Below are 14,733 nucleotides of genomic sequence, written 5' to 3' on the forward strand. Positions count from 1 at the left end.
TCCTGTAATCTTCTTAGCACAAGGTAAGCACTTTAGGTAATTAGCTAGAAGATACAATGTGGTAACCAGCAGTCATTAATTAAAACACTGCCAATTTTCTGTGGCTAGCAGGGGTCAAGTGGGGACAATTTCAATGCTCCGTTACATGAAAATAAAATGTTAAAGCATTATGTAAGGCACATACTGAATTGCTAGTTATATTAATTCTGGGTCACCTTTCTTATTTATTGCAAATATATGCATAGCTGTGTTCACAGGGACTGAGAGTATGGGGACAGTGGAAAAAGAACGGCAGATTGTCACCAAATGAGCCCACTTTGAAGGCAGCAGCAAATAAGAAAATTGTTTCAATTTTTTTCCTTCACTGTTAAGTCTTTGCTGGTCTGTAGAGAGGGCACTTGGATAAGAGTCAAAAGGGTTAGGTTCTCATGCTCTCTGAAACTACCCATGCCTTACAGCAAGTGGCTTATTTTCTCTGCATCCTTAATTTCATCATATATGAATAAGGAGAATAATCCATTTACATATGATGTAGGATTGTTGTGCACATAAAGTGAAGCAAGATTGTATGAATGTGGGTATAAATGCCTGCATGCAAGGAGAGCTTGGTCAATGAGCTCATCCAGAGGGGTCCCCTTGTAGGGTGAAATAAGACTGAAGAGTCGCAGGACCATGGAAAGGAGGTCTCTTTAGCCTCACCAATGGTTTGCACAATGGTCAGGCGGTAAGCTGTTCTTTCTTTTCACCAAGGAATCAAACACAATCCCTTTCATCCTTATGGAGAGAGTGGTGTTTTCCTCAAGAATGCATTTGTTTTTCTTCTTTAGGAAGGGGGGTTTCCTCTCTGAGAATAGTTGGGGGATTGCAGGAAAGCATTGGGTAAAAAGATAGAGGTTGCAATGGAAAGATAAGAGAAAAAGCAAGAATAGCAACAGCAGTTGCACCTAAATAAGGTTTAGTAGCTGAAATACAATGCTTATTCAGTGAAGGAGTGCTGAAGAGTTCTGTTACAAAGAAGAATCCCGAAGTGGACAGAGGTATAGTCCTGAGACACCACTGGCTTGGTTCCAGGCTGGAGAGCTATTTCCAATCCCTGAGAAAGAAGCTTCCACCACTGTGCAGGTAATATTTATGACACTGAAAGTTTGTGTCAGATGCTGTATGTTGATCTTTAGCACTACCACTTTCCCTCTAAACTCTGCCCTAAATTGCAGGGCTTGAAAGCCTGAAAACTACATTCCCTGGCTTTGTTACTAGATTCTGGTTTACATTTTACCAGTGAGAGGCACTTAAAAACAATTTTGTAGGTGCAAGGGTGGAAAAGCCATTATTTTGCTTTAGAAGCAGCAAATTGATGCATGGGTCAACCCCAAACATCAGGTTTATGGCTGCCTGTGGGAGAACTACAAATCACTGCTTGAGCACTAGAAGCAGCTGTTAGCAGTGACGGGAGAAGCATCTTAGTTCCTACACTTCTCAGGTGCTTAAAGGGCCGCGCAGTTTGTCCACGCTTCAAAGGATTTTGCATGCCCCTAATTCCCTTTATTAAATCCCTTCTTGATAACACACCACACCATCCAGGTGTGACACCGTCCAGGTTACTTCTTTTGTAAATGTGCACATAATTGTGTCCACTGTGCAATCCAGTCATCTTTCCTTAATACCTTCATTTCTATGTTGAAGAAGGCTATCCAATGACAACAATGGAAATTTCATGGTCTAGATTAGTGTCTAATCAGGATTTGTTACAACTTGCTAGTCCACTAGCACTTCAATGTCTAATTCTGTAACTAATACGTAATTATGTAACTAATACATAAGAATCCTTTTTTTTTAAATCAGCCAGAGGGAATTGGCCCTTCACTCACTTATCAGATAATTGATCCATGAACTGAACACAATTCAGCACTCGTCAAGGGGTCATGTGATATTGGAAGTGGTTGAGGTGACTCAATTATGCAGATTCCACCAGTGCTTTGCCTTGCTCCTGGGAGGAGCCCTGCAGCAGTGTCTACCATTCAAGGTCTCCAGCCACCGTTTCCCTGGAGCAAGAGCCCCCCAAACATTTGTCTTCAGTGTGACTGCCTACACCTAGAAGAAGGCTTCCAGAAAGTTTCCCAGGAAATAAATGAGGGGGAAAGATGGAGGAGTGCTGAAAAATAAAGAAAGGAAGAGCAAGATGGGCCCCAGGGTTGACTGTCCTGGTGGCTCCACCAAGGCTCAGGGTAATTACACTTCCTTAGGTGAGGACCCTGCAGAGGTCCTGCAGCAGCTCCCAGGGCCACTGAGATGCTGATTAGGGTAGCACAGAGGAAGGCAGGTTTTCTGCTCTGCTAAGGTTTTTCCTACCATCAAAGGAAGAAAATAAAACAATATATGGAACACTCACTTTCTCTGTTCAGCTTACAACTTGTTTTCAAGAACTCATTATTTCTTTGTGAGGCCCCTTGTCTCTTCTTGGGGAACACACAACACACAAGCAGAGCTCCTTTTGTTGTGCATGAGGGATCCATATCGGACTTTGAACTTGGGTTTATTTTTACCATGTGTGCCATAGAGAGATGTTGCCTTCTTCTCGTTTTTGGATTATTTGAATTCTTTCCCCATATTAATTCAATATTTGCATCTTATCACCTAATTGGAAATCGGGGTGCTGGGTGAGAGCCAGGACTTGATAGCCTGGATCAGAGGAGTGCACTGGGGCAGAGCAGGGGATCACTGCTGCTTCAGGAAATGAAGGACATGGAAGAGGTCAAAACCATGGGTGTGGAGTCTTGGGGTGCTCTAAACAACACAGAGCAAGACAAATGGTGAGTCTAGGAATGGGCATGGTGAGAGCACTGAATAGTGTGCAGATGCACAGGCAGGGGTGGGACAGTGGGAGGGCAGCAGCCTCCACCAGGTCAGGCTTGTGGTCAGAAGTTTTATTCTGGTGATCCACACTAAGAGGATTAAGATAGGGCCAGGATTGGAGCCACTGGTCCCAAGGAGATGACCAAGACAAGGGTCAGAGACAATGCAGAGACCCAATTTCTCAGAACAGGGATGCAAAAGAGACACTTGTCTGAGCAAAGCCTGTGGAACTGGCATTCAAGGTCAGAGTGAGTGGCAGCAAGGGCAAAAAAAGAATGAGACGAAATGCCTTGGACACTGAACCTGGGGGCACTCAGGCACGAGGCTGGCGCAGAGTGAAACATGCAAGGGCATACAGAGCAGGACAAAGGGACCAGAACTTGGGGAGAAGCCTTGGAGGACCTGAAAACTCAGTATCATCCCAACTGGGCCCTATGAACGTGCTCCCTATTGAGCTATTTTAATATAAACCCCCTGCTTTCCCAGAGGAAAAACAAAAGAGAATTTTATTTAAGCAAATTTCTGTCTCTTGATAATTTGCTTCTTTCCAGACTTATCTTTTGAATGTACAACCTGCAGTGTGTTCAGCAGTGTGATCCACAGGTGATCCTCAGTGTGATCTGCAGTGTCATCTGCAGTGTGATCCACAGTGTGATCCATGGTGTGATCTGCAGTGTGATCCACAGGTGGATCTGAAGCGTGATCTGCAGTATGATCTGCAGGTATCTGCAGTGTGATCCATGGTGTGATCTGCAGTATGATCTGCAGGTATCTGCAGTGTGATCCAAGGTGTGATCTGCAGTGTGATCCACAGGTGGATCTGAAGCATGATCTGCAGTATGATCCACGTTGTGATCTGCAGTGTGATCCATGGTGTGATCTGCAGTGTGATTGCAGTGTGATCCACAGTGTGATCTGCAGTATGATCTGCAGGTATCTGCGGTGTGATCTGCAGTGTGATCACAGTGTGATCTGCAGTGTGATCTGCAGGTGATCTGCAATGTCATCCACGGTATGATCCACAGTGTGATCTCAAGGTGGTCTGCAGCATGATCTGCAGCATGATCCACAGTGTGATCCACAGTGTGATCTGCAGGGTCTTCTGCAGTGTGATCTGCAGTATGATGTGCAGTGTGATCACAGTGTGATTAACAGGTGATCTGCAGTGTGAGCCCTCTCTTGACTGCTGAGGAAGGGACTGACTTGGTCATCTCACCAGAGAGGTCTGAAACTGGTGTTGGCAGAAAATCTGCTCTAGAATTAACCTGCTTGAGGGACTTAGGCTTGTCCTTTCCCTCATATTTCTCATGGTCTTCTGAGACATAGGCCATGAGGACTACAGAAGGTTCCAGGGATGTCCCCTGGACATTGGGAGGGAAGTTGTGGGCAGGATCAAGGTGAGCCTTTCCAGGGCATGCCCCTAAAGTAGGAGGGGACTCCAGAGAGGGTCACCTGAGCAGTTTGGCCAGTATTGAGCACAGCATGTGTTTTCCCCTCCATCTTGCATGGAAACGTTTAGTTAACTGTCTGGAGTGCCTAGTTTTATTTCTATGAATCTCTCAACAAAAGAATCAAGTTCCTGTTGCCCCCTGTGATGAGTCTATAACCACAGGGGAGGATTTCTCCAGGTGGGCTGACACTGAGCAGAAGAGGGTGCTTTTAGGGCCCTAGTGGTAAGGGACAGCCAGGCCCTCTGGGGGACTGTGCGTGGTGAGTGCAGAAGTGACAGCCTCCAGCAGCTTGTCTGGGTGCAGTAGGAGAAGGAGGAGCTAAAGCAAACCTGTGTGTGCACCAAATAATGGTGGATTCTCTGGAGCCTCCAGGGAAATATGGAATTGGGGAAACTACAATGAGCAGAAAGGACACAGGAAAAGGGGCAGGGAGAAATACAATCTCAAGAGAGACAGGAAGAAATAGAGTCACACACCATTGCAGCCCTTAGTATGAGCTACAGAGTGGGGAAAATAGAAACTCCTCTAAATTAAGAACAGCATTACCCTTGCTGGGAGAAGAAAGAGATGTGGACAGCTACATAAGGACAAGCTCAACAAAGATTGGCTGTAGACAGCTCTTGACCCCTTTCCGCCCAGAAAACCAAGGAGGACAAAAGAAAACCAGATGCCGTAGCTTATAAAAATTCACTACCACTGACAAATGGAAAGAATGCAATAAAATTATTAATGTTCATAAAAGAAAAACTTGGATACATGAAAGGACTATCCATGGTATTGGCTGGGAAGACTCAATATTCTAATGACATCAGCATTCTTCACGTTAAGCTTTAAATTTATGATCCTCCAAATTTTCCAGATTTTTTGGAAACTTGATAAAGTTATCTTAATATGCATCTAGAAGGAACAAACAAACAAAAATCCATGCAGAAAAAGCAAGGACATTTTTGAAAAATAAAAGTCACAAGGGGAGTATTGTCAAAACAGACATTAAAATAGAAGGAGATAAACTTCTAATACGTATGGTGCTGAACAGGCAATTGAGTGTAACAGAGAGAAGGCTGAAACACAGACTCCAGTATTCACATTTTCCCCTTAGACAATAAGGTATCGCAAATGAAAAAGTTTGGGCTCTTCAATAAATGGTTTTAGGACAAATGGCTAACCATGTAAGTTCATGATAATGGCAATAATGATATTAATAATAGCTAATACATACTGACTAATGGCTATGTGCCAGAAGCCATAATAAATGCTTTCTATGAGTCATCTTACTAAATCATCACATTTATCCCCTTATTTTATCTGTTTCAGCTGCAAGGATGCTGTGGTTCATATGGGGTAGGTAATTTACATGCAGTCACCCAACCAGACAGGGTTGTATTATGGCTGGGGTTTGAACTTATAGCCCAGTCTCCTAACTGATGATTTCTACTCCTCCTCCTAGATTCCTACTTTATTTATTTTACTAAAATCAAGTCCAAATTTAATGACCCTTTGTATATAAACAATAGAATTTCATATTTGAAGATGGAGGCATAAACCAGCACTTCTTCTCTTCCTGGGAACAACATGAAAGCAAATGGGAGAGAGAAGCCTAGAAAAATGTAACCTCTATTTCCTATGAAATTAGAAAATAGCTAAACTTCCAGCTACAGAATGGGTAAATGGGCAACCAACAGGGTAATTGAGCAGAAGAGCATGCAGGAAGATGAGGGAATCAGGGCCACCGCTGTGAACTTCAGAAGTCCCAGCAGAGTGGGTCACAGGTGAGAGCCAAGCCTCCATCAGTGAAAACAGTGTGCATAGGTGGGTGTGGGTGGCACTTCCCCAGGCCTGATGTGGCTTAGAATTTTAGAAGTAGGGTTAGCTGAGGAATCAGGCATTTGTACACAACAATCTTTTTCTGGGGACATGGATTTTCTTCAAATGTAAGTACAGTAGTTCCCCCTCATCCACATTTTCACTTTCCATGGTTTAAGCTACCTGAGGTCAATTACAGTCTTAAAATAGGGGAGTATAGACACATAAGATATGTTGAGAGAGACAGAGACAGCACATTCACATAGCTTTTATTACAGTACATTGTAATAATAATTTTATTCTAGTACTCATAATTTTTGTCAATCTCTTACTGTGCCTGATTTATAAATTAAACTTTATCAGGGGTATGCATGTGTAGGAAAGCGCATAGTATATGTAGGGTTTGGTGCTCCCCAAGGTTCAGTCATCCCCTGGGGGTCTTGGGGCTGCTGTATTCGAAAGGAAACCAAGACCTAGCAAAGATACAATAAGCAAAATAGAAGAAAAAAACAGAACAAGAAACCAGGTATTACGACTTAGATGAAGACTGTGAATAAAACAGTCACTTGTCTATAAAGCCATGGCTGAAGAAGGGTGAACTGTGAGCTGGCAGAGCTGGAGAGAAAGAAGGAGAAAAAATATAAACTCACAGCAGTGAAGGCAGAACCGGAGTTGGCACAAAGAAGAACAGACCTTGCTGGGGAAAAGACATGGAGAACAGAAATGGAAAAATATCGAACAAATTAAAATGGAAATCAATGAGTTAAAAAACCAGAGAGAAAATGACAGCTACAGAGACTAGGTGGCAATCCTATGGAACCACAATCAGAGACCCTGAAGAAGAAAATTAAAGCAGGGAAGAGAACACTTAGAGATACAATTCATGGGAAAAATATTTTTTAAAATAACCTGAATCTACATATTAAATAGATGCACCACATCTATGGGAAAATTGACCCCAAATGGAAAACACCAAATTATAGACTAAAAATTTACCAGACTTCAGGGCAGGTGCGGTGGCTCACGTCTGTAATCCCAGCACTTTGGGAGACCGAGTTGGGTGGATCACGAGGTCAGGAGTTCAAGACCAGCCTGGCCAATATGGTGAAACCCCATCTCTACCCAAAATACAAAAATTAGCTGGGCATGGTAGTGCATGGCTATAGTCCCAGCTGCTTGGGAGGCTGAGGCAGAAGAATCTCTTGAACCCGGGAGGTGGAGGTTGCAGCGAGCCAAGATCGTGCCACTGCACTCCAGCCTGGGCAACAGAGCGAGACTCCATCACAAAAATAAAAAAAGAAAATAAACTACCAGACTTCAAAGTCAGCTCTTTGGTGCACAGAACCAAAAAGATTAAGTTCCTTCTACAGGGAAATCAGGCAGTCTGTGCTCCCTCCAAGGAGACAGTGTGAGCCGCCAATATCTGTCCTTTGGGTGTAAAAAGGCAAGGAACAAACCATTGCAAACCAGAAAGAGGTTGGAATATTCTTCACTATGTCCAAATAACTCATACTGAGCACAAAATCAATCTAACACAGAACTGGCAATTGCAAAAGTTGGGCATATGGCTGCAGAACAGAACATAGAGGGTCTAAGCTCTGACAATGCAGAAAATATTCATCAAAATCTAGGATATTTAGAAAATTTATCATTGCTTATATTGGAAATTGACAGCTGTATCTGCATAGAGAGGAGCCCAAAACCCTGATCTTACCCCAGCCACAGGTCTGCCCTCCTGGAGTCGTCCTGTCTGTCACCGGCACTTCCACTATCCTCACTGCCTGGGGTTCTCCCCTTTTGTCACACCCATAGTATGTCCATCACTCAAAGACATTCAGAATCCATTTGTCCCTCCTCCACTGCAGTCACCCTGGTTCCGGCCACATCCCGGCCAAGGCCTTAGAACAGCTCTCCGGCTGAAATTCCTGTCCTTCACACAGTCTGCTTTCAAAACAGCATGCCAGTGTGATCCTTTTAAAGCATGAGGCAGATCACACCATCTCTCTCCAATTACCCAGCTAGCCTCCTAGCTTCTGGCTTCAGCACAGCAGCAGCTGAAGAGACCGCATCACCATCACCACTCTCATTGCTCACCATACCCACTCCCCACTTGGGCAGAGCCAGGTCCTTACAATGACTGATGGGGACCCAGTGCAGGAGTCTCCTCTCCCAGGACTTCCTTTCACTAACTCTGCCACAGCTGTAATGTCCTCCTTGGTGTTTCTGGATCATTCCAGGCATCAACCTCCCGGCCTCGCCCCCTACCCCCAACTCTTGGGAACTAGCTGGCCCCTCACCTTCCGGTCTCCCTCGGAGGACAGGAGCACAGGACTCATCTGTCTTTAAGTCTTTCCTCAGACTTTCCCTACTCCTGGGGTATTTTGACAATGCTATTTTAAATGCAAACTACTCCCCATTGTCCTCCAGCGTCACCCCCCAGGCATGCTCTGACTCTTCTTTTTGGACATTCCCACAACCAAGTTTCCCTGAAGGTCAGAGACTCTATGGACAGCCAGAGAGAGCAAAGGAGGCCCAGGCCAGGCCCCAGGCTGATGCATCATCTATTCTCTCGCATTTGCAGTCCCTCTTCGCTTCTCAGCAGGTAACAAGGAGATGGCCCTGAACTATTTTCCCTCCAGTATAAGTGACATACATGCAAGAGAATGGCATTAAGCTGTGGACTTCTGGGAGTACAGGTGAGACCCACCTCAGAATGAAGCCCTGATTTTTTTTTTTTAAATCTCTTTTAGGCAAGAGGCCTCATTTGTTCATGTAAATAAATAAATCAAAAAAGAGAACTGAATGTCTCAGACTTTGTGTATCTAGACCCAAGGTCAAAAATGTAATGACTTTTTTTTTTTTTTTTTTTTTGTAGCAAAGATTGTTTCATTTCTACAATAGCTACCTTTAAACTGCAGTGATTTACCCTGGAATTCTGCCTCCCCTGAATTAAACTGTTGCATCTCTCAAGGAAACAAGCTGAATCTGTTTTGTTTATACAGTTTTGTCATTTATGAGGGAGCTGCACTTCAGCTCTTAGTGATCATTTCATTGAAAGAAAACATGTTCCATAAGCAAGGCTAAATTGTTCTTAAGAAATAGATTTACTGCTTGCATAATTAAAATAACAATATACCATATTTCTCTATCAGATTGGAAAATGTCAAAAAAAAAAAGCCTAATATCCAGTATTATTTTGGTTATAAGAGACAGACACTACTGCAAACTGAGGTGAGTTGTGTAAATGAATAAAATGCTGGCAAATTGTCAATACATATTGAAAGTTATAAAAATTATTTACTCCTTGAGCCAGCAACTCTACTTATAGAAATTTATCCCCAGGGATAAATGAACACATATACAAAGATAAATGTGACAGAAGTCATTAGAAGTCATTATGATATCTTTCTTTTCCTTTTTTTTTTGAGATGGAGTCTCGCTCTGTTGCACAGGCTGGAGTGCAGTGGCGTGATCTCAGCTCACTGTAAGCTCCGCCTCCCGGGTTCATGCCATTCTTAGCCTCCTGAGTAGCTGGGACTACAGGTGGCCGCCACCACGCGTGGCTAATTTTTTTGCATTTTTAGTAGAGACGGGGTTTCACCGTGTTAGCCAGGATGGTCTTGATCTCCTGACCTCATGATCCGCCTGCCTTGGCCTCCCAAAGTGCTGGGATTACAGGTGTGAGCCACTGCACTTGGCCCATTACGATATTTTTCTAAAAGAAAAACTGGCAAAAACCAAAAATATGACATTCAACAATAGTGTTGGAGATATCCAGTTGCCAGGTATCCAACACCCCCTCTGACTTAGGAAAATAACACACATTATGTCCATGATGGCTTACGGACCCTTTATAGCCAGGGGCGACCCGGCCAGCGATCCAGAGAGATGCTGGCAAAATTGATCTGTGATGCACTTCTGGAAAGGACCTTAAAGGGAGGTGAGTCGTGTGGGAGGGGCAGCCATCTCCCTTTGCTCTTCCTCCTACAGGGAAATGTGAAAGGAAGTTGACACTATAGCTTGGTGGCCATCGTTTGAGGATGAAGAATGCTGCTAGGAGAGGCAGAACTCTTCCTAACACATAAGGAGTTTGGGTGCCTGATGACTTAGCCAAGCCAACAAACTAGTCCTGAGCTGTCGACATCCAGAGTCCTCTTATGAGAAAAATAAACCCTTGTGAATTTAAGTGGCTGAACTCAATCTTAACTAAAGTAATTAGATAAACGTAATTATTGATGTACTACAATAAACATTACACAGACATTAAAAAGTCACGGAGTTCAAGGCCAGCCTGGCCAACATGGTGAAACCTCATCTCTACTAAAAATACAAAAAAATTAGCCAGGCTTGGTGGTGTACACCTGTAATCCCAGCTACTACTTGGGAGGCTGAGGCAGAAGAATTGCTTGAACCCAGGAGGCGGAGGTTGCAGTGAGCTGAGATCGCACCACTGCACTCCAGCCTGGGCGACAGAGCAAGACTCTGTCTCCAGAAAAAAAAAAGTCATATTAAGCACCATATTTGTTGTTATGGCAAGACATACATAGTATATTGTTGACTGAAGAAAGATTATAAGCCAGCAACAATCATCAAACTTTTAAAAATGTATAATGTGTATCTATGGGTATGCAATTGCTTGGGGACAGGACTGACAGTCTAGAGACAAAAAATGTTTGCAGCAGTTATCTTTGATCATCTTTGAGTGATGTTATTGGGGGGAATTTAACTTTTTAAAAAATTGCAATTTCTAATTTTTTTCTTTGATGACTTGATATTGGATATGAAATTTAAAGACAAAAAAGCTACTATTACAACCTAATTTTTAAGTTAGTGGTAAGAAGGGATAAAATGTCAGTAACATCCAAGACAGACAAAGTATTATTTAATCTATGTAGAAACACTTCCAAATAAATAAGACATAGAGATAAGCGTGCAAGTAACATGAATAAGAAATTTCCCAAAGGAGAAGTAGAAGTGGTCTGTTAACATAAGATAAAACATGTTAAACAACATTAACAATCTAAGTATGCAAATTAAAATGAGAGGGCATTTTCAACCATCAGGTTGTAAAGACTATTTAAAAAAAATGTTATCTAGTTGGTGAGGATGCTGGGCCACATTTACCCACCCATACTGTTGGTGGCCTAAGTGCCCTTGGGCAGTACAGAGTAAGAGCCTTGTATATGGCTGGTGCCTTTTCACTTCACTTACACATATGCGCATTGAATTAACATACAGGAGTGTTCATTTGCTGGAGTGTTTATGAGAGTGAAAACTGTAAACACCCTCAGGGAGAGAGAGAACACCTGCATAACGACAGGCATTAAAAATAATGTTGAAGAAGGCAAATGTCATGGAAAATGTCCATAATATCAAATATGCACTTCCATAGAAACTAAATTAAATTTATGATGTTTATCTGTTTCCATGTAATAATGCACAATGGAGCTTCAAATACGGCAGGAAATAAAAAGTCATGGGGGCAGAGACTCTGAATAACAGGATTTTATTTTTGAAGAAGTCCTTTGCACATGGACAGTGGATGTGGTGTGTGGTGTGTGACAGGGGAGTTGCTTCAGGGACTTTTAAAAATTTAGCTATTTTCCCAATCAGACAGTGTCTAGCAACCTTCCCCACTTCTTTACCTTCCTTCTCAAAAGAGAGATGCCAGGAGGGTTGCAACAAATGTACCATTTATTTTTCCTTTGGTCATTGTTGCTTCCATAATGAGAAAATGCAACATGCTATTTTAAAAAAGAAAGATCTAGAGTATAAATGATGATTAAGTCAACACAAATACAAATACCTCACAATAATTAAACCTAGATACTAGGTCTTAGGTTATTGGAAAAAAAAAAAGGTCATGATTGACTGATTATTTGATCTCACCAGTACATATCTGGCCCTCAACTAATATAGTACTGAATTCAAGTGTCTAAATGAGAAAAGAAAGAGAACTTCCAATATGTTTGCAAGTACCGTTAAGGAGGCGTTCTGAAGAAGCCACCCTAATGAACAGAAATTGTTTTTCCAAAGTCTAACATGATTCCACTCTTCGTTTCCATGTCATACATTTCTACTTGCATAATATCTACAATGTCACCTAAAACCCAGGAGCTACTGTTCTGCATTAGAAGAGGAAACATGATTAGGGGTGCAAGCAGGGAACATGAGACAATCGCAATAGGACATTGGGCGTGTTTGTTTTTAAAAAGAGCACGCCAAGGAGATGACGTGTAATCTGTATATTCTAAGGTAATAAGGGGAATAAAACAATCAATGATATTATCTTTAACTTTCTAAACCCACTCATCTCTCTAAATACTGGGGAAATAGTTTTCCAGCTATGAGTAGTTCTGACAATTTAAACTCACATCTCTTCATGTACGAGTGTGCAGTGATCTCTAAGCAGACCATGGTTATGTAATACAGGTGGGCAAGGTAGGACTTCCTAAGTGCTGAAACAATCTACACAAAAGACTTCCATCCCTCTGTGGCCTTTCCAAGGGCATGTTATGTACAACAGACACGTTGTGTGTCTGAATAAAAACACCTAGGTGGACAACTAGGAATGTCTATGAGAGAATGATAGGCTTGGTGGAAACAGAGATACGTATCTACTTGCAAGAAACTTCTCTGGAAATCTAGAAATGCTTATCTAATCCTTTAGAACATAGCAAATGTTTGACAGGTAACAAGTAGATCAAGTAACTCCATACCTTTAGAGAATTTCCACACGATGGTAGGTACAGGGTAACCCTCAGCAGAACAATTGAGGATGACTGCTTTGCCATAAATCCCGTCCTGGTCCCGTGGCTGAACCACAAACTTGGGAGGAACTGAAAAGAGAGAAATGTCACCAGTAATTAAGACTAGACCAGAAACTGAGTAAAGGTATGATTCTAAGAAACTGAATCATTTTAATGAATATTAAAATATGAAGACTGTTTCATACACATGGGACAATAAAAACACTATTGGCAGTTTGGGACAAATTAAGGGAGTAATTTCAGTGCTGAAAAATTTTCTGATTCATATCAATGAGCTTTTGTCACAGGTAAAAGCCCTTTGAACTAGGGAAAACTGGCCTCGAGGGAGGAAGTTTGACTAAATCAAAGGGATGGAATATTTTGCTTTTAATTGTGTTATCAAAAATATACAGAAATTCCCTCAATGGAAAATTGAATCAGAATCACCATTTAAAGAACAGATCAGGCTGGGCGCGGTGGCTCATGCCTGTAATCCCAACACTTTGGGAGTCCGAGGCAAGCAGATCACCTGAGGCCTGGAGTTTGAGACCAGTCTGACCAACACGGAGAAACCCCATCTCTACTAAAAATACAAAATTAGCTGGGTGTGGTGGCGCATGCCTGTAATCCTAGCTACTCAGGAGGCGGAGGCTGGAGAATTGCTTGGACCCGGGAAGCGGAGGTTGCAGTGAGCTGAGATAATGCCATTGCACTCCAGCCTGGGCAACAAGAGTCAAACTCCATCTCAAAAAAAAAAAAAAAAAAAAAAAAGTAGATCAAATATATATTTGTGCCTCAAATAGTAATTATCAAATATAAGTATTCATCTTGGATGTGAACTGGTCAAAGTATTCGATGTTGATTTTTCCTCTACCAGGAGATAAAGTGAGAAATAACAGGCACCTCGTAAAGGCAATCGAGAATACAATGTGGGACTGAACTTTTCCCAAAATTCTGGTGAGAACACATAGTCCGTTATGCCAGATGTCAGCACCACGGTGGGCCAAAGGGGGACTGTGGAGAGTAGTTGCAGTGAAGTACCATAAAGGTTTTCTAGTGTGCCTATAAAAAACAAGATATTAAGTGACTGCTTATCTGGTGAATGTTGTGAGGTGCTGTAAAGAACCATCCCTACCTAAAACATAAACATGATTTCACTTAAAACATATCTCCCCAAAGAAAGCATATTTTTTGAGATAAGCCATTAGGATTTTAATATGTATCACATCTCTTAGAAAAGGTAGCATCTGAAAGTATTCTAATCCCCGTATCTTTCCCAGCAGATCAGCGATTCATTACAGGGTAGACTTTCAGTGAGGCAGTCATAAACTATGTGAGAAGAGATGAATTATCTACACCATATAGTAGATACTTAGAAATTCCTGGTAAGGCTAATCTCATCAGCCTTGCAAGATACAGAATTCTTAATTTTGAGACATAAATGTGAGCCTATGTGTTACAGGTAGATAGGAACTCAGCTGCCACATATGATAGACTGAGAAGATGGTTAGGGCCTAAGTTAGCAAGGGGCTTAGAAGCTTGTTACAATGATCTGAGCCAACGTGACGATCGCTTTGGCCATAAAATAACAAAGGAGGAAGGGAAAATGTCAAGACACAAGAAGCAGCCAGAGATGGAATTCACCGCAGTGTTTCTGGAGAAAATATTGCTTTTAATTTTCTAGCTTTACTTTCTGTAGAATGATTTACACATGAAGAAGCACCAGAAAATAATGACTACCAGCATAAAGCCAAGTGTTAAACACATTGGCTTGGTGTCCAGCTTTTCTATTTCCTGTTGGGCAATTTTGTGCAAACTGTAAAATGGCTCTTGGTCTCAATTTACTTATCTGAAAATTGGAGATGATTATGGAACTC

At 42.1% G+C, this 14,733-nt stretch overlaps 1 protein-coding gene across 4 annotated transcripts in view; it reads right to left on the reverse strand.

Moving 5' to 3' along the window:
- Nucleotides 1-14,733, reverse strand: part of DSCAM (DS cell adhesion molecule) — an 836,160-nt gene that overhangs the window by 272,230 nt on the left and 549,197 nt on the right. For all 4 annotated transcript variants that reach the window (NR_073202.3, NM_001271534.3, NM_001389.5 and 1 more), the window contains one exon: nucleotides 12,827-12,946. Coding sequence is in view for 3 of the 4 variants with exons in the window: in NM_001271534.3 (NP_001258463.1) it covers nucleotides 12,827-12,946 (120 nt within the window). In the remaining variant the exon portion in view is untranslated. The remainder of the gene's footprint in view (nucleotides 1-12,826; nucleotides 12,947-14,733) is intronic.

Source organism: Homo sapiens, chromosome 21 (genome assembly GCF_000001405.40).
Source record: "Homo sapiens chromosome 21, GRCh38.p14 Primary Assembly".
Lineage (NCBI taxonomy): Eukaryota > Metazoa > Chordata > Mammalia > Primates > Hominidae > Homo > Homo sapiens.